The sequence below is a fragment of the Homo sapiens genome, chromosome 2 (assembly GCF_000001405.40).
Source record: "Homo sapiens chromosome 2, GRCh38.p14 Primary Assembly".
In the NCBI taxonomy this organism is placed as follows: Eukaryota; Metazoa; Chordata; class Mammalia; order Primates; family Hominidae; genus Homo; species Homo sapiens.
Genome location: NC_000002.12, coordinates 203,290,747 through 203,314,960, shown reverse-complemented (window position 1 = coordinate 203,314,960; position 24,214 = coordinate 203,290,747). Strand labels below are relative to the sequence as shown.

General features: G+C 42.6%; 1 protein-coding gene across 18 annotated transcripts in view; it reads right to left on the bottom strand.

Moving 5' to 3' along the window:
* CYP20A1 (cytochrome P450 family 20 subfamily A member 1) overlaps nt 8,935-24,214 on the bottom strand; it is a 67,009-nt gene continuing 51,729 nt past the window's right edge. For all 18 annotated transcript variants that reach the window (NR_163985.1, NR_163981.1, NR_163982.1 and 15 more), the window contains 3 exons: nt 22,635-22,699; nt 18,398-18,487; nt 8,935-18,203 (listed from right to left, as the gene is read on the bottom strand). Coding sequence is in view for 13 of the 18 variants with exons in the window: in NM_001371695.1 (NP_001358624.1) it covers nt 18,053-18,203; nt 18,398-18,487; nt 22,635-22,699 (306 nt within the window). In the remaining 5 variants the exon portion in view is untranslated. The remainder of the gene's footprint in view (nt 18,204-18,397; nt 18,488-22,634; nt 22,700-24,214) is intronic.

The window sequence follows — 24,214 nt, the reverse complement described above, 5'->3', positions numbered from 1 at the left end:
TGGTCTTGCTCTCCTGACCTCGTGATCCGCCTGCCTCAGCCTCCCAAAGTGCTGGGATTACAGGCGTGAGCCATCGTGCTCAGCCTGCTGAAACTATTTTTTAAATGAAATTAGGTCATTAATAATTTATGAAAAGTTTTGAGAGGACACTGTCATTAACTTGGGTTTAAGACAGGAGGACATTGCAAGCTCACACCCTTCATAGGCATAAAGTAGTAGTTGCAAGAAAATATTTTTATCCTGTTAGGACTCATATCTAAGATAGAGTTATTATACATTGCACATATACAAATAAGCTTGTATTAGATACCTATAAAAGAAACATAAAAGTATGTTGTATATTACTGACCATCCTAGATTAATTTCTTTTGGAATTAAAGTAGATTTGTTAAAGTGAAAAAAAAGAAAGAAAAGAAAAGAAAAAAGAATAGGATAGAAAATGTATCTTTCAAAAATAGTTTATTTATATTTAAATTTGTATTTATTTATTTTTTTAGAGACAGGGTCTTGCTCTGTCTCCCAGGCTAGAGTGTAGTGGTGCCATTTTAGCTCACTGCAGCCTCAAGCTCCTGGGTGATCCACCCACCTCATTCTCCTGCCCTAGCCTCCCAAGTAGCTGGGTCTGCAGGCACGAGCCACTGTGTCTAGCCTATTCATATTTTTGTTTTAAATTATGTTGAAGATTTTCTTAAACTTCAAGCTTCAAAATGTATTAACTGGGTTTTTATTACTGAAAAGTATACTAACCTTCATTTAATAATATGAATTACAGAGTTTGAAATGTAATAGTTTTTCTGATTACACATTAATACCATTAGAACCTGATGCTAAATATTAACTGACCTATCAAATTTATAATTTTCAAACCTTGCTAATTTTTTAAAAAACAATTTGTTTCTTGTCCATTGCAATAATATTGCAAACAAAGAGATTATACTTTGACAAAATTGCTAACTGAATACTATGATGCTTGGTAATAATGTCTCATTTATGTAGTGCAAGGTTGATAAGAATAAGGGTATTCTTGGCCACCAATTGCTATTTTCATGAAATAGAATACAGAAGAGGTTAACAGCAAACAAAAACTGATTCATGATTTTATCAAAGTTATTTCATGTATCCTCTTGGAAGGAAAGGAGTAGAACAGAATAATCTTGATATTTTAAAATGGCAGGGAACACTGAATTTAACTACAATTAAAATATTTCAGTAGGATTTCTTCCTTCCTCCTCCACAGGAATTAACAATATATATTTCTCACAGATTTCTGTTAACTACTTCTATTATCTAAATGTCTACCCATATGACTAAGTGAATGATTCATATCACTGAAATATTTCATAGGGTTTTATAATGATATTTCAGGGGAAAACATCATTTTAACTTCCAGCAGAAAATTTTCTGGCAATTATGGTTAATATACAGGAAAGTAAGAGTTTCATGAGTGAAATGGTTTAAGAAAAGAGATTTTTAGTGTATTAGAATTCTTTTGTCAGGGTGTGGTGGCTCACACCTGTAATCCCAGCACTTTGGGAGGCCAAGGCGGGGGGATAGCTTGAATCCAGGAGTTCCAGACCAGCCTGGACAACATGGTGAAACACTGTCTCTACAAAAAATACAAAAACTAGCCAGGCATGGTGGCTTGAGCCTGTAGTCCCAGCTACTCAGGAGGCTGAGGTGGGAGGATCACTTGAGCCCTGGAGGTTGAGGCTGCAGTGAGCAATGATCATGCTACTGCACTCCAGCCTAGGCGACAGAGTGAGAGACCATGTTTCAAAATATATATATATATATATATATATATATATATATATATACTTTTGCAAGTTTAATAAATGTGTATTATGAAATTGTTTTTTTCTTTTTTTACAAAAAGATTGGCATCTATTCATTGCCTATTTTGTAAAGAATTGTAAGACATTCTAGAGAGATTTAAACCACTTAAAAGAAAAATCGTGAATGAGACATTTATGGATATTTGCAAGAACAACTAGCATACAACCAAGAAGGATAGCCCTCAGAAACCACCGAGTCACAAGTACCATGCCCTCTAAAGTCAGACATGTCCGGGGGCCAATTATACTCCAATCAACATAGTTGCTCAAATTCCACTTCTCAGAGGGACACTGTGCTTGGGGTTTAATGCTTTGGGGGCACTGTCTTTAAATTTTTTTTTTTTTTTTTTTGGACAGAGTCTTGCTCTGTCGCCCAGGCTGGAGTGCAGTGGCTGATCTCAGCTCACTGCAAGCTCCGCCTCCCGGGTTCAAGCAATTCTCTTGCCTCAGCCTCCCAAGTAGCTGGGATTATAGGCATGCACCACCACGCCTAGTTAATTTTTTTATTTTTAGTAGAGACGGGGTTTCACCATGTTGGCCAGGCTGGTCTTGAACTCCTGACCTCATGATCTGCTCACCTCAGCCTCCCAAAGTGCTAGGATTACAGGCATGAGCCACCACACCCGGCCGGCTTTAAATTCTTAATAATTTCATTTTTGAATTTGTGTTTTGTAAGTGAAGTCCAATGGGACCATGGAGCATGCACCAGGGACTCGGAGCCCACCTGCATGCCTTCCCCTACAGGTTCTCAGTGACTAGCTGCCTGCTCCTTGGTGCCCTGATCCCCACCCAGCCTTCCTCTCCCCAGCTCTGCTCACTACTACAACCACTATTGCCTTCTGCTCTGAGCAGTCATTGGATTACATTGGCAGGAGAGTGGAGGGGAGGCTCACTTTTCCCTGTGGTCACCCTCAGCCTCCGGTGGGGATCTGGGTGAAGTTTGGAGGGGGCCCACAAGCAGTCTGTTTTGGAGAATTTTCAGGAAAGGCAAGGAAACATCTGCTTTGGGCTGGCAGCACCACAGCATGTTCACCATGTGACTGGCAGGGCTCTTTAGACCACCCCAGTCAGTAAAGTGTCCCAGTGCAGGAGATTTCAGTTCCTTGGGGTTGCATACACCAAAGGTTGAAAAGGCAGGGCCATGAGAAGAGGAGATTTCCTCCTCGACTAGGTCTCACAAATTATATAGCCAGTAGTGATTGTGCCTCTTACAATAAAAATGAACTCAAAAACCTTTATAAACATCATAACATGGACTGTGGGACATCTTTCAAGTGTTTTGTTTGAAGGCTGGGCATGGAAATTGTGTAAAAGGAAGTGAAGAGGTATACCCGGAGTGTTTGCTGGATTGGGGCTTAGGCCGGAAGCTGCTTCTGGATGATCTCTGTGCACATGCATGCCATTGCAGAGAAGGGTCTTGTGGTTCTGAGACATCCTATGGTATCAGCTACTGATTAGATTGAGAAGAGCCCAAGGTAGCTGGATCAGTTTTAGGGCTAACCAAGAGAGTTGGTCCAGAATGTACCAAACTTCCTAAGATCACCCTGTGAATCTTCTAGATATGAAAAAAGAGAAACAGAACAGATTCACAGTTCTACTTCAATCCCAAATTTCATCTTGGGTTTGAAACCAGAAAAACCTCTGATCACAGAGAGAACAAGATGACATTTATCTTTGTGGCATCACTGTGCTATAGGACTGCCCTATTGCTTGATTTGCATTTTCTAATATTACATAATTTCTACAGGGCACCATCCAGATAGAAATATACCACAGAGCTCAATTCTTGTAATTAGACCCTGTACTGGAAAATATAAAAACCTCAAAGAGACAGAGATAAAATTTATACACACATTAAGAAAGGTTGTCATGGCAACTTTGCTTGAAGATATGTATTTTTAAATCTAAGTAAATTTGGCATTCAGAACATTTGCATCTCCCTCAAAGGTTCTGTATCAAGAATATTTTTTAAAATTGTTTTCAAATTTCTTCTGAATCTACGCTTCCTTGAAAGCTTAAAAAATCCTATGAATATAATAGCATCATAGACTTAAGCACATATTTGCAGAAGGCCCTATATGAGAAAAATCCAAAGTGAAAGGGTAAAAACGTTACTTTTCTACCCCCAGAATCCCTAGGCTTCTCCCTTTAAAATGTTAAATTGTGAGCAGGCTATGCCCATATAATCTCTACAAGGTCCTTTCATGCTCTAAAAATCAATTAGCTATTAGTTGATGACCTTGCAATATATGCAACAAATTATGGAAACTCAACACACCTAGTGCTGCAGTGTAAGTAAGCAACAATTAATACAGACCACTACAATAAATACTGCCCGGTAACTTAGCCAAACCAATTCCTAGCTTTGTTTCTTCTTACTTTGAAAGTTCTCCAGTATTCCTAATCAGCATCAATGTTGAAAGCATTCCTTGATCAGATACCTAGTTTAATCATCTTGCTCATACATTGAAAATAAAGTGATGAGACCAGCCGTGGTGGCTCATGCCTGTAATCCCAGAACTTTGGGAGGCCAAGGTGGGTGGATCACAAGGTCAAGAGATGGAGACCATCCTGGCCAACATGGCGAAACCCAATCTCTACAAAAATACAAAAATTACCTGGGGGTGGTGGCACTCACCTGTAGTCCCAGCTACTCAGGAGCCTGAGGCAGGAGAATTGCTTGAACCCAGAAGCTGGAGCTTGCAGTGAACCAAGATTATGCCACTGCACTCCAGCCTGGCGACAGAGTGAGACTCCATCTCAAAAAAGAAAAGAAGAGAAAAGAAAAGAAAAGTGACAGGTCCATGCCTGTAATCCCAGCACTTTGGGAGACCAAGGTGTAAGGATCACTTGAGTCCAGGAGTTTGAGAGCAGCCCTGGCAACAGAGTGAGACCCCATCTCTACAAAAAAATTAAAAAGTTAGCCAAGTGTGGAGATGCATATCTGTAGTCTGAATTACACAGGAAGCTGAGGTAGGAGGATTGTTTGAGCCTGGGAGGCAGAGGGTGCAGTGAGCTGAGATGGCACCACTGCACTCCAACCTGGGCAACAGAGTGAGACCCTGTCATAGAAAGAAGAGAAGGAAGGAAGGAAAGAAGGAAAGGAGGGAGGGAGGGAGGGAGGGAAAAGAAAGACTGGAAAAAAAAGAAAGGAGAAAGACAGTACAGTGATGGTTTCACTTCCAGCAGTTCCTTGTGCTTCTTCCCCAATTATAGCCTATGACAGAAGCCTGTTGTGACCTTCGTCATGTAGTTATCTCCAAGTTCCTTCCTATGTTCCTCTCAGCCACTAACCTAAAATGTCCTTGAGCTATGTATTAGTTCGTTTTCACACTGCTTATAAAGAGATACCTGAGACTGGGCAATTTACAAAAGAAAGAGGTTTAATGGACTTACAGTTCCACATGGCTGGGGAGGCCTCACAATCATGGCAGAAGGTGAAAGGCACATCTCACATGTTGGCAGACAAGAGAAGAGAGCTTGTTCAGGGAAACTCCCATTTTTTAAAACCCATCAGATCTCATGAGACTTATTCACTATCACAAGAACAGAATGGGAAAGACCTACTCCCATGATTCAATTAACTCCCACCACCCAGTCCCTCCCACAACATGTGGGAATTCGAGATGAGATTTGGGTGGGGAAACAGCCAAACCATATCATTCCACTGTTGGCCTCTCCCAAATCTTATGTCCTCATATTTCAAAACCAATTATGCCTTCCCAACAGTCCTCCCAAAGTCTTAACTCATTTCAGCATTAACTCAAAAGTCCACAGTCCAAAGTCTCAACTGAGACAAGGCAAGTACCTCTGCTTATGAGCCTGTAAAATCAAAAGCAAGTTAGTTTCTTCCTAGATACAATGGGGATACAGGCATTGAGTAAATACAGCCATTCCACATGTGAGAAATTGGCCAAAACAAAGGGGCTACAGGCCAGAAGCAAGTCCGAAATCCAGTGGGGCAGTCAAATCTTAAAGCTCCAAAATTATCTCCTTTGACTCCATGTCTCACATCCGAGTCATGCTGATGCAGAAAGTGGGTTCACATGGCCTTGGGCGACTCTGTCCCTGTGGCTTTGTAGGGTACAGCCTCCCTCTCAGCGGCTTTCATGGGCTGGCATTGAGTGTCTGTGGCTTTTCCAGGTGCACAGTGCAAGCTGTGGGTGGATCTACCATGCTGGGGTCTCGAGTATGATGGCCCTCTTCTCATACCTCCACTAGGCAGTGCCCCAATGAGGACTCTGTGTGGGGGCTCTGACCCCACATTTCCCTTCTGCGCTGTCCTAGCAGAGGTTCTCCATGAGTGCCCTGCCCCTGTAGCGACCTTCTTCCTGGACATCCAGGCATTTCCATACATCCTCTGAAATCTAGGCGGAGGTTCTCAAACTCCAATTCTTGACTTATGTGCACTTGCAGGCTCAACACCATGTGGAAGCTGCCAAGACTTGGGGCTTGGACTCTCTGAAGCCACAGTCTGAGCTCTATGTTGGTCCCTTTCACCCATGGCTGGAGTGGCTGGGACACAGGACACCAAGTCCCTAGGCTGTACACAGCACAGGGACCCTGGGCCCAGTCCACAAAACCACTTTTTCCTCCTAGGCTTCCGGGCCTGTGATGGGAGGGGCTGCTGTGAAGACCTCTGACATGCCCTGGAGACATTTTCTCCACTGTCTTGGGGATTAACATTTGGCTCCTCATTGCTTATGCAAATTTCTGCAGCCAGCTTGAATTTCTCCTCAGAAAATGGGATTTTCTTTTCTATCGCATTGTCAGGGGCAAATTTTCCAAAGCTCTGCTTCCCTTGTAAAACTGAATGCCTTTAACAGCACCCAAGTCAACTCTTAAATGCTTTGCTGCTTAAAAACTTCTTCCACCAGATACCCTAAATCATCTCTCTCAAGTTCAAAGTTCCACAAATCTCTAGGGCAGGGGCAAACACCACCAGTCTCTTTGCTAAGACATAGCAAGAGTCACCTTTGCTCCAGTTCCCAACAAGTTCCTCATCTCCATCTGAGACCATCTCAGACTGGATTTCATTGTCCATATCATCATCAGCATTTTGGTCAAAGCCATTTAACAAGTATCTAGGGAGTTCCAAACTTTCCTACATTTTCCTATCTTCTTCTGAGCCCTCCAAACTGTTCCAACCTCTGCCTGTTACCCAGTTCCAAAGTTGCTTCCACATTTTTGGGTATCTTTTCAGCAGTGCCCCACTCTACTGGTACCAATTTACTGTATCAGTTTGTTTTCACACTGCTGATAAAGACATACCTGAGACTGGGCAATTTACAAAATAAAGAGGCTCATTGGACTTACAATTCCATGTGGCTGGGGAGGCCTTAAAATCATGGTGGAAGGCAAGGAGGAGTAAGTTACATCTTACGTGGTTGGAAGCAGGCAAAGAGAGAGCTTGTGCAGGGAAACTCCCGGTTTAAAAACCATCAGATCTCATGAGACCCATTCACTATCAGGAGAACAGCACAGGAAAGACCCGCCCCCATGATTCAATCATCTCCCACTGGGTCCCTCCCACAACACCTGGGAATTATGGGAGCTACAAGATGAGATTTGGGGGGTGACAGAGCCAAACCATATCAAGCTGCTTCCCAACCCAGTACCTGGAGAGCTCTGGGTGCTAGAAGATTCAAGGTGGTAAAGCTCTAGGACATGAGACTGTGGGGTTCTCCCTCCTGGGGTGAAACACAGGAAAAGACAGAGAACACAGTAATAATGCCATGTATGTTTTGTTTACTGCTATATCCCCAGTGTGTAGCATAAGATCTGGCACACATGGTCAATAAGCAACTGTTGTATGACAAATGGGTTCCATATCTTTGGGTGGGAATGGAAAAATCAGGACAGGGATAGGAGTCAGTGGAGCTAGAGGACACACTGGGCTCTGGCAGAAGAGAGGTGGAGGTAAGGGAGAGAATATGGTATTCAGGTGGTTCACTTTTAAGGCTATGGTCATTCTTAGACTAGAGAATCTCTGGACCATATATAGTTTAAGGAATTTGTCTCTAGATCATGTCAGGCAAAATGAGTTCTGTTTTATAAGAGACTACTTCTATGAAATCTGGATTTTACAGGAACTGGTTTCATAGATGTTATTGGAAAAAAAGAGTACCTTCATCAAATACATTTGGAACATTCAGAGTTTAACCAAGTTAAAGTAGTTTTCTTTCTTTTTTTTTTTTTTTTTTAAGACAGAGTCTCGCATTTTCACCCAGGCTGGAGTGCAGTGGCACAATCTCGGCTCACTGCAAGCTCTGCCTCCCGGGTTCACACCATTCTCCCGCCTCAGCCTCCCAAGTAGCTGGGACTACAGGCGCCCGCCACCACGCCTGGCTAATTTTTTGTATTTTTAGTAGAGACGGGGTTTCACCGTGTTAGCCAGGATCGTCTCAATCTCTTGACCTCGTGATCCACCCACCTCGGCCTCCCAAAGTACTGGGATTACAGGCGTGAGCCACCATGCCTGGCCTAAAGTAGGTTCCTTTACAGTAGGACTTTTCAGCTCTTCCAATATTAATATATATATTATAAATATCTGAGAAAGAATATAGTATGGAGAATCTGAGAATGAATATCAAGGAAACTTCTCATAGTATCTTACAGGATGGTGTTTCATGAGACATTGTGGGAAATAATGCTCTCACTAACCTTGTAAAAAACCCTTATCTTTAAACATTTCTTGGTTCAATGATCATCTAGTAATAAGATATAGAAGGAACAGGATGGGGTCGGGCGCAGTGGCTCACGCCTGTAATCCCAGCACTTTGGGAGGCTGAGGAGGGCAGATCACCTGAGGTTGGGAGTTTGAGACCAGCCTGGCCAACATGGAGAAACCCCGTCTGTACTAAAAATACAAAAAACAAACAAACAAACAAAAAAATTTAGCCGGGCATGGTGGTGCGTGCCTGTAATTCCAGTTACTCAGGAGGCTGAAGCAGGAGAATTGCTTGAACCCGGGAGGCGGAAGTTGCAGTGAGCTGAGATTGCACCATTGCACTCCAGCCTTGGCGGCAAGAGCAAAACTCCATCTCAAAAAAAAAAGAAAAAGAGAAAAAAGATATAGAAGGAACAAATGACTACTTGGTTACCAACTATTTTAGTTGTATTTTGTATAGTACTATATTATAAATCTATGTTCACATCTAACACAGGCATGAGTGGAAGGCAGGCATACAACATCCTCTTAAACACTTCTATTAATGGAGTATTCAGCACATCACAAAGTAGCTTTATGGATAGCTTGGCTTCTGAATTTTTTTAAACTATTAAGTAACATTAATAATTTCCTTTATTCTATGTGCACAGAACACCGGCAATAAAGATTTCATTCATTTACTCAAAAATATTTACTGGTTGCCTTTTTGGGGACAGGTACTTTATGACTTTATGACATAGTTACAATGGTAAAGTAACAAAATTTCATTTCATACCATCAAGTGTTTAAAATTAAAATAAGTATTTTAGATGTAGATAAATATGTTTTTCTAAAAATCACCAAACAGGATATAAGTAATTTATTTGATCATGGCATTTTATCACATACTATAACAAGATCTATTTATCACATACTATAACAAGATCTATTCCCAGTATCTAGAAAGCAAGCCAACGGGCCGGGCGCAGTGGCTCACGTCTGTAATCCGAGCACTTTGGGAGGCCGAGGTAGGTAGATTATGAGCACAAGAGATCGAGACCATCCTGGCAAACATGGTGAAATCCTGTCTCTACTAAAAATAAAAAAATTAGCTGGGGGTGGTTGGCGTGCGACTGTAGTCCCAGCTACTCGGCAGGCTGAGGCAGGAGAATTACTTGAACCTGAGAGGGGGAGGTTGCAGTGAGCTGAGATTGCACCACTGCACTCCAGCCTGGTGACAGAGGGAGACTCGGTCTCAAAAAAAAAAAAAAAAAAAAAAAAAGACAGCCACCGAACTGTAAACCAATTAAATTGGGAGTAGAACTGGAAGAGTGTGATTTATTACCTTGTTTATAGCCTGAATGTCTTAAAAAATGGGTCCCAACTCAAACTTTACAATTATCCATTTAGTGTCATAAAATTCTATAAGTCAAATATTAAAATTGATCTATAAGTCTATTCCCTTTAAAAAAGCCTATTCCCTGAAGCTCTTACAAAAATGAAGTAATAAAGGTATATGTTTAACATGTATTTATTTATTTATTTGAGGGTTGTGCTTTGTCACCTAGGCTGGAGTGCAGTGGCATGATCATGGCTCACTGCAACCTCTACCTCCTGGGCTCAAGCAATCCTCCCACCTCAGCCTCCTGAGTAGTTGGGACTACAGGTGTGCGCCAGCACACCTGGCTAATTTTTGTATTTTTTGTAGAGATGCAGTTTCGCCATGTTGCCTAGGCTAGTCTCAAACACCTGGACTCACCCAATAAGCCTGACTTGGCCTCTCCAAGTGTTGGGATTACAGGCATGAGCCACCACACCCAGCTGGAAAATGTTTAAAATTTATTAAGTGAAAAGTAACTCATGCTGCAATGAACGTACTATGTAAAAATGTATGTATGTGGAACAGGGAAAAATATAAACAGTCACAGAAATGTGTTTAGGTTGGTAGCATTCTTTTTCCTCTTAAAAATTCCTTTTTTTGGCCGGGCGCTGTGGCTCACACCTGTAATCCCAGCACTTTGGGAAGCCGCGGTGGACAGATCACAAGGTCAGGAGATCAAGACCATCCTGGCTAACATGGTGAAACCCCGTCTCTACTAAAAATACAAAAAATTAGCTGGGCATGGAGGCACTCGCCTGTAGTCGCAGCTACTCGGGAGGCTGAGGCAGGAGAATCGCTTGAACTGGGGAGATGGAGGTTGTAGTGAGCCCAGATCATGCCACTGCACTCAAGCCTGGGCTGAGACCTCCAGAGTCTGGCTGAGACCTATGGAGTCTCACTCTGTCACCTAGGCTGGAGTACAGTGGTGCGATCTCGGCACACTGCAACCTCCACCTCCCAGACATTCTCCTGCCTCAGCCTCTCAACTAGCTGGGATTACATTCGCCCGCCTCCACACCCACTAATTTTTGTATTTTTAGTAGAGATGCGGTTTCCCCATGTTGGCCAGGCTGTTCTTGAACTCCTGACCTCAAGTTATACGCCCACTTTGGACTCCCAAAGTGCTGGGATTACAGGTGTGAGCCACGGCACCAGCCAAAAATTTCTTTAAATATTAGTGGTATATTATTCTCTCAATAAGTTTTTTTTTTTTTTTTTTTTGAGACAGTCTTGTTTTATTGCCTAAGCTGGAGTGCAGTGGCACAATCTCAACTCACTGCAACCTCCACCTCCCAGGTTTATTTTTTTTCTCATGCCTCAGCCTCCCAAGAAGCTGGGATTACAGGCATGTGCCCCAAAGGCCAGTTAAGTTTTCTTTTTCTTTTTTTCTTTTTTCTTGGTTGAGACGGATTTTCGCTCGTCACCCACACTGGAGTGCAATGGCGCGATCTCGGCTCACTGCAACCTCCGACTCTTGGGTTCAAGCGATTCTCCTGCCTCAGCCTCCCGAGTAGCTGGGATTAGAGGCACCTGTCACCACGCCCGCTACTTTTGGTATTTTTAGTAGAGATGGAGTTTCACCACGTTGGCCAGGCTGATCTCAAACTCCTGGCCTCAAGTGATTCACCTGCCTTGGCCTCCCAAAGTGCTGGAATTACAGGCCCGGCCTATTTTTGCAATAATTATGAATAGCACACCATTTAAACCTGTTGATTGAGCCCTCCTTAAATAACTAAATACACTACTGGCCAACATGGTGAAAACCTGTCTCCACTAAAAACACAAAAAAATGGCCGGGCACAGTGGCTCATGCCTGTAATCCCAGCACTTCAGGAGGCCAAGGGGTGTGAATCACCTGAGGTTAGGAGTTCAAGACCAGCCTGGCCAACATGGTGAAACCCTGTCTCTACTAAAAAAAAATACAAAAATTAGCTGAGTGTAGTGGCACATACCCGTAGTCTCAGCTACTCAGGAGGCTGAGGCAGGAGAATTGCTTGAACCTGGGAGGCAGGGGTTGCAGTGAGCCAAGATCGTGCCACCACACTCCAGCCTGGGTGACACAGCGAGACTCCATCTCAAAATAAATAAATAAATAAAAAGAAAGGGACCGAGCGCGGTGGCTCATGCTTGTAATCCCAGCACTCTGGGAGGCTGAGTTGGGCAGATCACAAGGTCAAGAGTTCAGGACCAGCCTGACCAACACGGTAAAACCCCATCTCTACTAAAAATACAAAAATGAGCTGGGTGTGATGGCACGCGCCTGTAACCCCAGTTACTCAAAAGGCTGAGGCAAGAGAATCGCTTGAACCTGGGAGGCAGAGGTTGCAGTGAGCCGAGATCACGCCACTGCATTCCAGCCTGGTGACAGTGAGACTCTGTCACACACACACAAAAAAGATAAAGAATGACAAAAATCTGTGCCTACATTCAGAGTGACAAGAATACTAATGTTCTGCTTGTAGAAAAGACTATTGGTTCAGAATATGTTAAATGCAAATAATATTTTGTATAATATATATAAATTACATATGCATAAAAAGAGTATCTATATTAGAATCTTTTGAGACAGGGTCTTGCTCTGTCAACCATGAGGGAGTGCAGTGGCACTACCACAGCTCACTGTAGCCTTGACTTCCTGAGCTCAAGCCATCCTCTCGCCTCAGCCTCCTGAATAGTTGGGACTGCAGGTGGTGCCACCAAGGCTGGCTAAGTTTTTATATTTTTTTATAGAAACAAGCTTTTGCCACGTTGCCCAGGCTGGTCTCAAACTTCTAAAAGCTCAAGCAATCTGGCCGCCTTGAACTCCCAAAGTGCTTGAGTTATAGGCATGAGTCACTGTGCCCGGCCTACATTAGAATCTTAACAGTGGGGCTGGGCATGGTGCCCCATGCCTGTAATCCCAGCACTTTGGGAGGTCAAGGTGGGCAGACTACTTGAGGTTGAGGAGTTCGAGGCCAGCCTGGCCAACATGGTGAAACCCCATCTGTACTAAAAACACAAAAATTAGCCAGGTGTGGTGGCACATGTTTGCAATCCCAGCTACTTGGGAGGCTGAGGCGGGAGGATCACTTGAACCTGGGAAGCAGAGGTTGCAGTGAGCCGAGATGGTGCCATGGCACTCCAGCCTGGGCAATAGACAGCGGGACTCAGTCTCAAAACAAAAAAAAAAAAAAAAAAAAAAGAATCTTAACAGTGGTTAACTTCAAATAGTGAAACTATGACTGTTAACTGAGTTTGACATTTTTGTGTTTTCCTAGATTTTTCTACAATAAACATTATTATTTCATAATAAAGCAGTAAAGACTTTTTATACAAACTATTTTAAGATAAACAAATTTTGACATAGGGGTTATAAGTTAGGTAGAATCTATTTATATAAAAAATGGAACTGTACTTTTGTGGGCCAAATAAGCACTATGTAAGTTTTTTTAATTTTCCCAAACACATGCACAGAATTAATATTGCCTTAAATTTTGTTAGCACAAGTTTGAGAGAGCTCTTTAGTTCATAAAAAAATGTTTTATGGACCAGGTGCCGTGGCTCACACCTGCAATCTCAACACTTTGGGAGGCCCAGGTGGGAGGATCGCTTGAGCCTAGGAGTTTGAGACAAGACTGGGCGACGCAGGGAGACCCTGTCTCAAAAAAACAAAACCAAAAACAAGCAAACAAAAAAACAGCTGGGCATGGTGGCATGCATATGTAGTCCCAGCTATTCTAGAGGCTGAGGTGAGATCGCTGGAGCCCAGGAGGTGGAGGCTACAGTAAGCTGTGATCATGCCAATGCACTCCAGCTTGGTCAACAAAGCAAGACTGTGCCTCAAAAAAAAAAAAGAAAAGAAAAGAAAGAAAGAAAAGAAAAAGAAAAAAAGTTATGTACGTATGGTTTTTTTTTTTTTTTGGATAGAGTTTCACTCTTCTTGCCCAGGCTGGAGTGCAATGGTGCAATCTTGGCTCACCACAACCTTCCCCTACTGGGTTCAAGCGATTCTCCTGTTTCAGCCTCCCCAGTAGCTGGGATTAAAGGCATGTGCCACCACGCCCGGCTAATTTTGTATTTTTAGTAGAGATGAAGTTTCTCCATGTTGGTCAGGCTGGTCTTGAACTCCTGACTTCAGGTGATCTGCCCGCCTCAGCCTCCCAAAGTGCTGGGATTACAGGTGTGAGCCACCTCGCCTGGCCGTTTTTTTTTTTTTTTTTTTTTTCTGAGACGGAGTTTTGCTCTTATTGCCCAGGCTGGAGTGCAATGGCACGATCTCGGCTCATCGCAACCTCTGCCTCACGGGTTCAAGCAATTTTCCTGCCTCAGCGTCTCAAGTAGCTAGGATTACAGGGATGCTCCATCATGCCCGGCTAATTTTGTATTTTTGGTAGAGACAGGGTTTCTCCATGTTGGTCAGGCTGGTCTCAAACTCCCAACCTCAGGTGATTTACCCGCCTTGGCCTCCCAAAGAGCTGGGATTACAGGTGTGAGCCACTGTGCCCGGCCATGCTTATGTTTTTTAACAATACACTTCTGAACTATCAAAAAGAATATAAATCAAAATCACTGAAGTAGTTTTTAAAAACTCCAAAAGCTACAAAACTTACTTACTTCAATATCAATTAAAAACCCATTTGATAGTTCAATAACTTGAGTCCTGCTAGAATCATTCTATAAGCCATCAGTGACAGTGAAGTGGCCAAAATTTGAGTCACTTGATAAGTACAAAGAACACAGATTTTTGTCATTCTTACTGTGAAGAAAAACAGTGAATGAATAACTTAGTTTATATATTAACAGTACTTTTATTTAAAAAATTATCTAGAGAATAACTTCTTTTTAATCATTTGTTAGTCATGTAACTATGGATAAAACATACTAATTTAGCTGATTCCTCTATGCTCTCTTTTCCTTGATTCCAATCATTATTAGTTATTCTACACTGCCTCATTTATTGGCAGTTATGCCAACTGGCTGACTCTGGTTCAACTGCCCTATTTTTGCTTTCATCATTGTTTATCATATCTCACTTGCTTTAAACTCCACCTCTTTCATCTCATCTGATCTGACACTTGGTTTACATATCAATTGGCTACTCTAACCTTCTACCGCCAGTTTCCAACCCATTCGAGGTACTTGGGTAACAAAGGAAGATGCTCTATACACACAAAACCACAGAAAATAAGTGGGAAGGGATAATAAATTTCACTTAAAGTTTTAGAATTTTTCTTTTTTTTTTGAGACGGAGTTTCACTCTTGTTGCCCAGGCTGGAGTGCAATGGCGCGATCTTGGCTCACCGCAACCTCTGCCTCCCAGGTTCAAGCAGTTCTCCTGCTTCAGCCTCCCGAGTAGCTGGTATTACAGGCATGCACCACCAAGCCTGGCTAATTTTGTATTTTTAGTAGAGACGGGGTTTCTCCATGTTGGTCAGGCTGGTCTTGAACGCCTGACCTCAGGTGATCTGCCTGCCTCGGCCTCCCAAAGTGCTGGGATTACAGGCATGAGCCATCACGCCCGGCCAAAGTTTTAGAATTTAAGTTATTCCAAAAAAAATTTTTTTTTTCAAAAATACAGACTGCATCCAATTAAATTCTATGTTAACTGGTAATGACTAGGTCTAAAATGTTAGGTATTTACCAATAAATGACATAAAATAACTCAACAACAAAGGGATTTTTTTTTTTAAGAGATAGGGTCTCACTTTATCACTCAGGTTTGGCTGAGGGCAGTGGTGTGATCACAGCTCACTGAAGCCTCCAACTCCTGGGCTCAAGTGATCCTCCCGCCTCAGTCTACCAGAGTATATTCTTGAAAGTAAAATTACAAATGAAATTCAGCAGTGTTAAAAATAAGCCCACTTGCAGACAATTATCATTTTTCTTCCTTTCTTTCCTCACTATCTGTACTTGGCATATTTCCTACAGTGGCTGTCTTAAAGAAAAAAAGGAATCCTTCACAAATAGTGTAGCCAAAAAAGTTGGACTAATATACAATGCTATCAGTAAAGTATTATATATAAAATTTATAAGTGCTAAAGTGTAATTTTGAAAGACACTTAAGATACTCCTTTTTTTTTTGAGACAAGGTCTCAGCCCTGTCGCCCAGGCTGGAGTGCACTAGCACAACATCAGCTCACTGCAACCTCCGCCTCCCAGGTTCAAGCGATTCTCCTGCCTCAGCCTCCCAAGTAGCTGAGACTACAGGCGCACGCCAGCATGTCCAGATAATTTTTTGTATTTTTAGTAGAGATGGGGTTTCACCATGTTGGCCAGGATGGTCTCAAATCTCTTGACCTCGTGATCTGCCCATGTCGGCTTCCCAAAGTGTTAGGATAACAGGCATGAGCTACCGTGCCCAGCCTACTTAAAATATTCTTGAAATAGCTCTCCCCACCTCCTTTTTTTTTTTTTTTTGAGAATGAGTTTCACTCGACACCCAGGCTGGAGTGCAGTGGTGCGATCTTGGCTCACTGCAACCTCTGCCTCCCAGGTTCAAGCGATTATCCTGCCTCAGCCTCCTGAGTAGCTGGGATTACAAATGTGCACCACCACATCTGGCTAATTTTTTTTTTTTTTTTTTGTATTTTTAGTAGAGACGGGGTTTCACCAAGTTGGCCTGGCTGGTCTCGAACACCTGACCTCAATTGATCCACCTGCCTCGGCCTCCCAAAGTATTATAGGCATGAGCCACCGAGCCCGGCCTTTTTTGTTTTTTGTTTTTTTAAAGGCAGGGTTTTGCTCTGTTGCCCAGGCTGGAGTGCAGTGGTGTGATCACAGATCACTGCAGCCTTGACCTCTCCTGGTCTCAAGTGATCCTCCCACCTCAGCCTTCAGAACAGCTGGGACTACAGGTGTGTGTCACCATGCCCAGTAATTTTTTTGTATATTTGTAGAGGCAGGGTCTCCCAATGTTGCCTGGGCTGGTCTCAAACTCCTGGGCTCAAGCAATCCACCAGCTTTGGCCTTCCAAAGTTCTAGGATTATACGCATGAGCCACTGTGCCCTGCCCCAATATTTTGTTACTTACTAGTGAGACTAAACACTTTTCTAAAAGTTTGTTAGCCATACTATCCTATAAAAGCTGTTTGTTCATGTCTTTTGTCCATTTATCTTTTTTTTTGTTTTTCTTGAGACAGAGTCTTGCTCTGTGGCCCAGGCTGGAGTGCAGGGGTGCAATCTCGGCTCACTGCAAGCTCCGCCTCCCAGGTTCAAATGATTCTCCTGCCTCAGCCTCCTGAGTAGCTGGGATTACAGGCATGTGCCACCATGCCCAGCTAATTTTTTTGTGTGTGTTTTTCAGTAGAGATGGGGTTTCACCATGTTGGCCAGGCTGATCTCGAATTCCTGACCTCAGGTGCTCCACCCGCCTCAGCCTCCCAAAGTACTGGGATTACAGGGGTGAGCCACCGCACCCGGCCAATTTTCTGTATTTTTAATAGAGACAGGGTTTCATCCTGTTGGCCAGGCTGGCCTCGAACTTCGGACCTCAGGTGATCCACCCGCCTCGACCTCCCAAAGTGCTGGGATTACAGGTGTGGGCCACCACACCCAGCCAATTTTTTTGTATTTTTAGTAGAGACAGGGTTTCATCATGTTGGCCAGGCTGGTCGCAAACTCCTGACCTCAGGTGATCCACCCGCCTCAGCATCCCAAAGTGCTGGGATTACAGGCATGAGCCACCACTCCCGGCCAATGTTTTGTATTTTTAGTAGAGATGGGGTTTCATCATGTTGGCCAGACTGGTCTCAAACTCTGGACCTCAGGTGATCCACCTGCCTCAGCCTCCCAAAGTGTAGGGATTACAGGTGTGAGCCACCGCGCCCAGCCTATGTTTCTATTTTATACATATTCAACAAACATGATTCCCCAACTTCTGCAAAATAATTTCTTTTTCAAGAACATTGATTTTAGAGCTCACACTAAGAAAAAGAATACAAAAATAATGGCATAGAAAGTGAAAAAACAAAAATAAAAAGTAGAAAGCTAAAGTTTCCCATTAAAATGATCAATATACTGTGCAGTAAGTCAAATGTGTACAATGAATTAAGAAAATATGATATATAAAAATCCAAATTTACAAAATTAAGTACAAATAGGTGTTTATATTACAAAGTGATACTGGTTTATAAAAGGATTCAACATAGATTTTTTTTAAATGGTTGTTTTCCTCAATCAATTTAACAATGATTTTAAATGTATAAAATTTTAATATCTCTTTGAGACAGTGATCCAAGCTTCTTCCCTTGATGATGTTACCAGTTCATACTTTGTTTCAATAACCTGTCCCTCCACAGAAAGTAGGTGCAGTCTCTTCACCAATACACTAAGAAGTACTGTGGTCACCATATATGCAAACCTAGTCAGGAAGAAAGTCAATTAGTTACTAAAGATTAAAAATTATACTTTAAACCTGCACGTTCTGCACATGAACCCCAGAACTTAAAGTACAATAATAATAAAAAAATAATACTTTAATCATACAGATTGCCCATTCTCATCAACAGTGATCATCAAAATTCTAAGAACAGAGTCTGGCATTCTATTATTCACCTCAACTCTGGACACTCCTGTGTGCCTGAGAATCCAAGTGAGGAAAAAGTTTTCATTACTAATTCATCATCAAACCGATCTGGATCAAACCTACAAAGAAAATTTGAGGTTAATCACAATATAGCTCCACTGGCATCTTACATGTTGACACTAAAAGAACACAAGTATGTAACAAAGTTAAAAATCAACTGAAAATAGAAAGTGCTCTTACATTATATTTAAATGCCACTTATTTTTATGTTCCCAAATTATTTAACATATATTTAGTCTATTGCTGTTTCTTACTATATTCCATTTTTTGAGACAGGGTCTCGCTCTGTCACCCAGGCTGGAGGGCAATGGTGCAATCAAGGCTCACTGCAGCCTCGACCTCCTGGACTTAAACTATCCTTCTACCTCAGCTTCCTGAGTAGCTGTGACTATAAGCACATGCCACCAGGCCCAGCTACTTTTAACAGTTTTTTGTACAGACAGGTTCTCCCTAGGTTGCCCAGGCTGATCTTGAACTCCTAGGCTCAAGTGATCCTCCTGCCTCAATCTCTCGAAGTGCTGGGATTATAGGTGTGTGAACCACCACGACTGGCACTTTATTATTTCTCTTTTTTTTTCTTTTTTTGAGACGGAGTCTTGTTCTGTCACCAGGCTGGAGTGCAGTAGCGTGATCTCGGCTCATTGCAACCACCACATCCCAGGTTCAAGCAATTCTCCTGTCTCAGCCTCCCAAGTAGCTGGGACTACAGGTGCACACCACCACACCCAGCTAATTTTTTTATTTTTAGTAGAGACGGGGTTTCACCATGTTGGCCAGGATGGTCTCGATCTCTTGACCTCGTCGTGATCCACCTGCCTTGGCCTCCCAAAGTGCTGGGATTATAGGTATGAGCCACGGCACCCGGCCTACTTTATTATTTCTAAATGATAGATGCAAAATATATTTCTCGAGAAAACCAAGGTATAAGATTGTTACACCAGTTTATATTATTTTGTGAAATATAAGGATAAATCATAGAAAATCATATAATGAATTTTTAAATAAATTTAAGACCTGTTACATGAGACCACCTTATCAATATGTAAGACATTTTATATTGCCTCTTCAACTGAAATTTATGTCTTAAAATTGGAGGCTCCAGCCTTAAAATTATATTTATCAATTATATTACATCCAGATTTATTAATAGGTGAGAGAGGCTGGACACAGTGGCTCACGCCTGTAATCCTAGCACTTTGTGACGCCAAGGTGGGAGGATTGCTTGAGCCCAGGAATTCGAGACCAGCCTGGGCAACATAGCGAGACCTCATCTCTATTAAAAATTTTTGGCCAGGCGCGGTGGCTCACGCCTGTAATCCCAGCACTTTGGGAGGCCGAGGCAGGCGGATCACGAAGTCAGGAGATTGAGACCACGGTGAAACCCCATCTCTACTAAAAATACAAAAAAAAAAATTAGCTGGGCACAGTGGCGGGTGCCTGTAGTCCCAGCTACTAGGGAGGCTGAGGCAGGAGAATGGCATGAACCCGGGAGGCGGAGCTTGCAGTGAGCCGGGATCGCGCCACTGTACTCCAGCCTGGGCGACAGAGTGAGACTCTGTCTCAAAAAAAAAAAAAAAAAAAAAAAAAAAAATTTTTTTAAAGGCTGGGCACAGTGGCTCAAGGCTGTAATCCCAGCACTTTGGGAAGCAGAGGCAGGTGATCACGAGGTCAAAAGATTGAGACCATCCTGGGCAACATGGTGAAACCCCGTCTCTACTAAAAACATAAAAATTAGCTGGGCGTGGTGGTGCATGCCTGTAGTCTCAGCTACTTGGGAGGCTGAGGCAGGAGAATCGCTTGAACCCGGGAGGCGGAGGTTGCAGTGAGCCAAGATTGCACCACTGCACTCCAGCCTGGCAACAGATTGAGACTCCGTCCAAAAAAAAAAGATACACGTTGCTTCTCTTAAGCCACTGAATTCTAGGAGGGTATCTGGATTAAAGCGAATGAAAAGCGTACTCTATATATGTGTGATTATTATCATTATTTTTTATTTTATTTTTTATTTTTTTGAGATGGAGTTTCATTCTTGTTGCCCAGGCTGGGGTGCAATGACATGACCTCGGCTCACTGCAACCTCCACCTCTCCTGCCTCAGCCTCCCGAGTAGCTGGGATTACAGGCATGCGCCACCACACCTGGCTAATTTTGCATTTTTAGTAGAGAAGGGGTTTCTCCATGTTGGTCAGGCTGGTCTCAAACCCCCGACCTCAGGTGATCTGCCCGCCTCGGCCTCCCAAAGTGCTGGGATTACAGGTTATTGTGCCCAGCCCATTATTTTTCATAGTTGGCGTCTTGCTTATTCCAAGACCAGCCTGGCAATAGAGCGAGATTCTGTCTCGAAAAAAATAAAAATAAAAATAAATTAAAAATTAAAAAAAATTAGCCAGGCATGGTAGCGTATACCTATAGTTCCAGTTACTCTGGAGGGTGAGGTAGGAGCATTACTTGAGCCCAGGAGGTTGAGGCTGCAGTGAGCCTGTGTTTACATCACTGCACTCCAGCCTGGGTGACAGAGCATGACCCTGTCTCTGTCCCTAAAGAAACAATAAAAATAAAAAATAAAGTCAGGGAAATGAAGGGCCTAAGAAACATTTTTTGTTCTATAGAATTTCACTCTGTAAAGTCATTGAAGAAATGCATATATTAAAAACAAAACAAATAACCCACGTACCACAGAACAAAAAAATTCCTTGCAAAAACAAGTATTTTTAAACGACTTAAACTCTGAATTTTTAAAAAAGGGAAATTCTTGGGAGCTAAGGTATGAGGACGTAAAGACATAAGAATGATACAATGGACTTTAGGGACTTGGGGGAAACGGTGGGGCGATGAGGGATAGAAGACTACACATTGGGTACAGTGTACACTGCTTGGGTGACGGTTGCACCAAAATCTCAGAAATCACCACCAAAGAAATACCACCTGTTCCCCAAAAACCTATTGAAATAAAAAATAAATTTAAAAAAAGCAAAAAGAGAAGCAATAAAGAACAGAAAAATGCACTGGGGAAAAAAAAAAAAAAGAGGCCGGGCGCAGTGGCTGTAATCCTGCACTTTGGGAGGCTGAGGCGGGTGGATCATGAGGTCAGGAGATCGAGACCATCCTGGCTAACATGGTGAAACCCTGTCTCTACTAAAACTACACAAAATTAGCTGGGCGTGGTGGCGGGTGCCTGTAGTCCCAGCTACTGAGGCGGCTGAGGCAGGAGAATTATTTGAACCTGGGAGGCGGAGCTTGCAGTGACACTAGATCATACCACTGCACTCCAGCCTGGGCGACAGAGCGAGACTCCATCTCAAAAAAAAAAAAAAAAAGAGAGAGAAATTCTGCTTTTTTAAAAATTTTTTTTGAGACGGAGTCTTGTGTCTTGCTCTTGTTGCCCAGGCTGGAGTGCAATGGCATGATCTTGGCTCACTGCAACCTCTGCCTCCCAGGTTCAAGTGATTCTCCTGCCTCAGCCTCCCGAGTAGCTGGCATTACAGGCATGCGCCACCATGCCCAGCTAATTTTTGTATTTTTATTAGAGACAGGGTTTCGCTATGTTAGCCAGGCTGGTCTTGAACTCATGACCTTGTGATCCGCCCGCCTCAGCCTCCCAAAGTGCTGGGATTACAGGCATGAGCCACGGTGCCCGGCCTGCTTTAATTTTCTTAAAACAGATGTTAATTACTTTTCACTTAGTATAAAAGTGGTAATAAAAGAGACAAAGAGTAGCAAATAGCAGATTCACATAAGAGAAAAAGCAGTCAACAGAAGATATAATGGGGATGCAGGTCAGGCTTGGTGGTTCATGCCTGTAATCCCACCACTTTGGGAGGCAGAGGTGGGAGGATGGCTTGAGCTCAGGAGTTCAAGACCAGCCTGGGCAACATGGTGAAACCCCATCTGTACAAAAAGTACAAAAATGAACCAGGCGTGGCAGCACGCGCCTGTGGTCCTAGCTACTTAGGTGGCTGACGCAGAAGGATGGCTTGAGTCAGAGAGGTCGAAGCTGCAGTGAGAAGTGATTGCACTATTACATTCCAGCCTGGATGACAGAGTGAGACCCTGTCTCAAAAGAAAGAGAAGAAAAGGGGATTCACTAGTTTTCTTTTGTTGTATCATTGCTACATATTGAGTTTTCTACTCAACAGTTAGGAAAGGAATGCAAAACGTGCAAACACAAAAACTGACAGTCACAAATACAATGACAAATATTTCATACTTGTGTGGAGATGGCCAAGTATTAGGATCCTGAAGTACCACACCAAGGGCATAAAGGACGAGGGTCTGTGAAAAAAAAAAATCCAATTAGTCAAGGACTAACAGAGATAAAATGACTCCTAGAAAGTCAACTTATTCCAAACTTCTTTTAATATAGATATTGAATACAAAATAATAATTTAAAAATAATGCAAGAAACCACAAGTGATTATTTTGGTGATCTTACAATGAGGAAGGCCTCCCTAAGCATGTCACAAAATCTAGAAACCATAAAGGAATAACAGACTTAACTACATGAAAATTTAAAATCTGCATCCAGAGTTCATGTCCTTTGTAGGGACATGGATGAAGCTGGAAACCATCATTCTCAGCAAACTATCGCAAGGACAAAAAACCAAACACCGCATGTTCTCACTCATAGGTGGGAAGTGAACAATGAGAACACATGGACACAAGAAGGGGAACATCACACACCGGGGCCTGTTGTGGCGTGGAGGGAGCGGGGAGGGATAGCATTAGGAGATATACCTAATGTTAAATGTCGAGTTAATGGGTGCAGCACACCAACATGGCACATGTATACATATGTAACAAACCTGCACGTTGTACACATGTACCCTAAAACTTAAAGTATAAAAAAAAAATCTGCATCCAGTTAAAAAACAATAACAAAAAAAAATGTAAGCAACAGTAAAAGTTATTTGCTATATAATTGACAGAATTTGTATAATATACAAATATATATAAGCTCACTAGAAAAATGAGTGAAAGTTATAAAGACAGAATTAACAAAAGAAAAACACAAACTGTTAATATATGTATGAAAATTTGTTCTATCTCTCCAATGATCAGAGAAAAGCAAGATTCATAAAATATACATAAGACTCAAATTCAGAGGCAGTGAGGATTTGGAAAGAAAAAACATTCTCATACATTGTTGCTAGAAGTATAAAATGCCTTTTAGAGAACATTTTAAATTTAACGTACACATGGCCCAGTGCAGTGGCTAATGCCTATAATCTCACCACTTTGGGAGGCTGAGGTAGGAGGATCACTTGAGCCCAGGAGTTCCATATCAGCCTGGACAACATAGTGAGACTCTGTCTTTATAAAAAATAAAAAAATTTAGTCCAGCTACTTGGGAAGCTGAGGTGGCAGGATCACTTAAGCCTGGGAGGTCGAGGCTGCAATCACACCACTGCACTCCAGCCTAGGTAACAGAGCAAGACCCTGTCTAAAAATAATAATAACTGAACATATACATGGACTTTGACACAAAAACTCCGTGTCTCAGACTCTACTCAACACCTGTACCAGTATATAATTAAAAAAAATAATGTCAATCATAATTTCCACTAGCGGGGGCTGCTTAAATAAATTATGCTAGATGGGCATGGTGGCTCATGCCTGTAATCCCAGCATGTTGAGAGGTGGAGGCAGGTGGATCACTTGAGGCCAAGAGTTCGAGACCAGCCTGGCCAACATGGTGAAACCCCATCTCTACTAAAAATATAAAAATCAGCCAGGCCTTGTGGCACAAGCCTGTAATCCCAGCTACTCAGGAGGCTGAGGCAGGAGAAT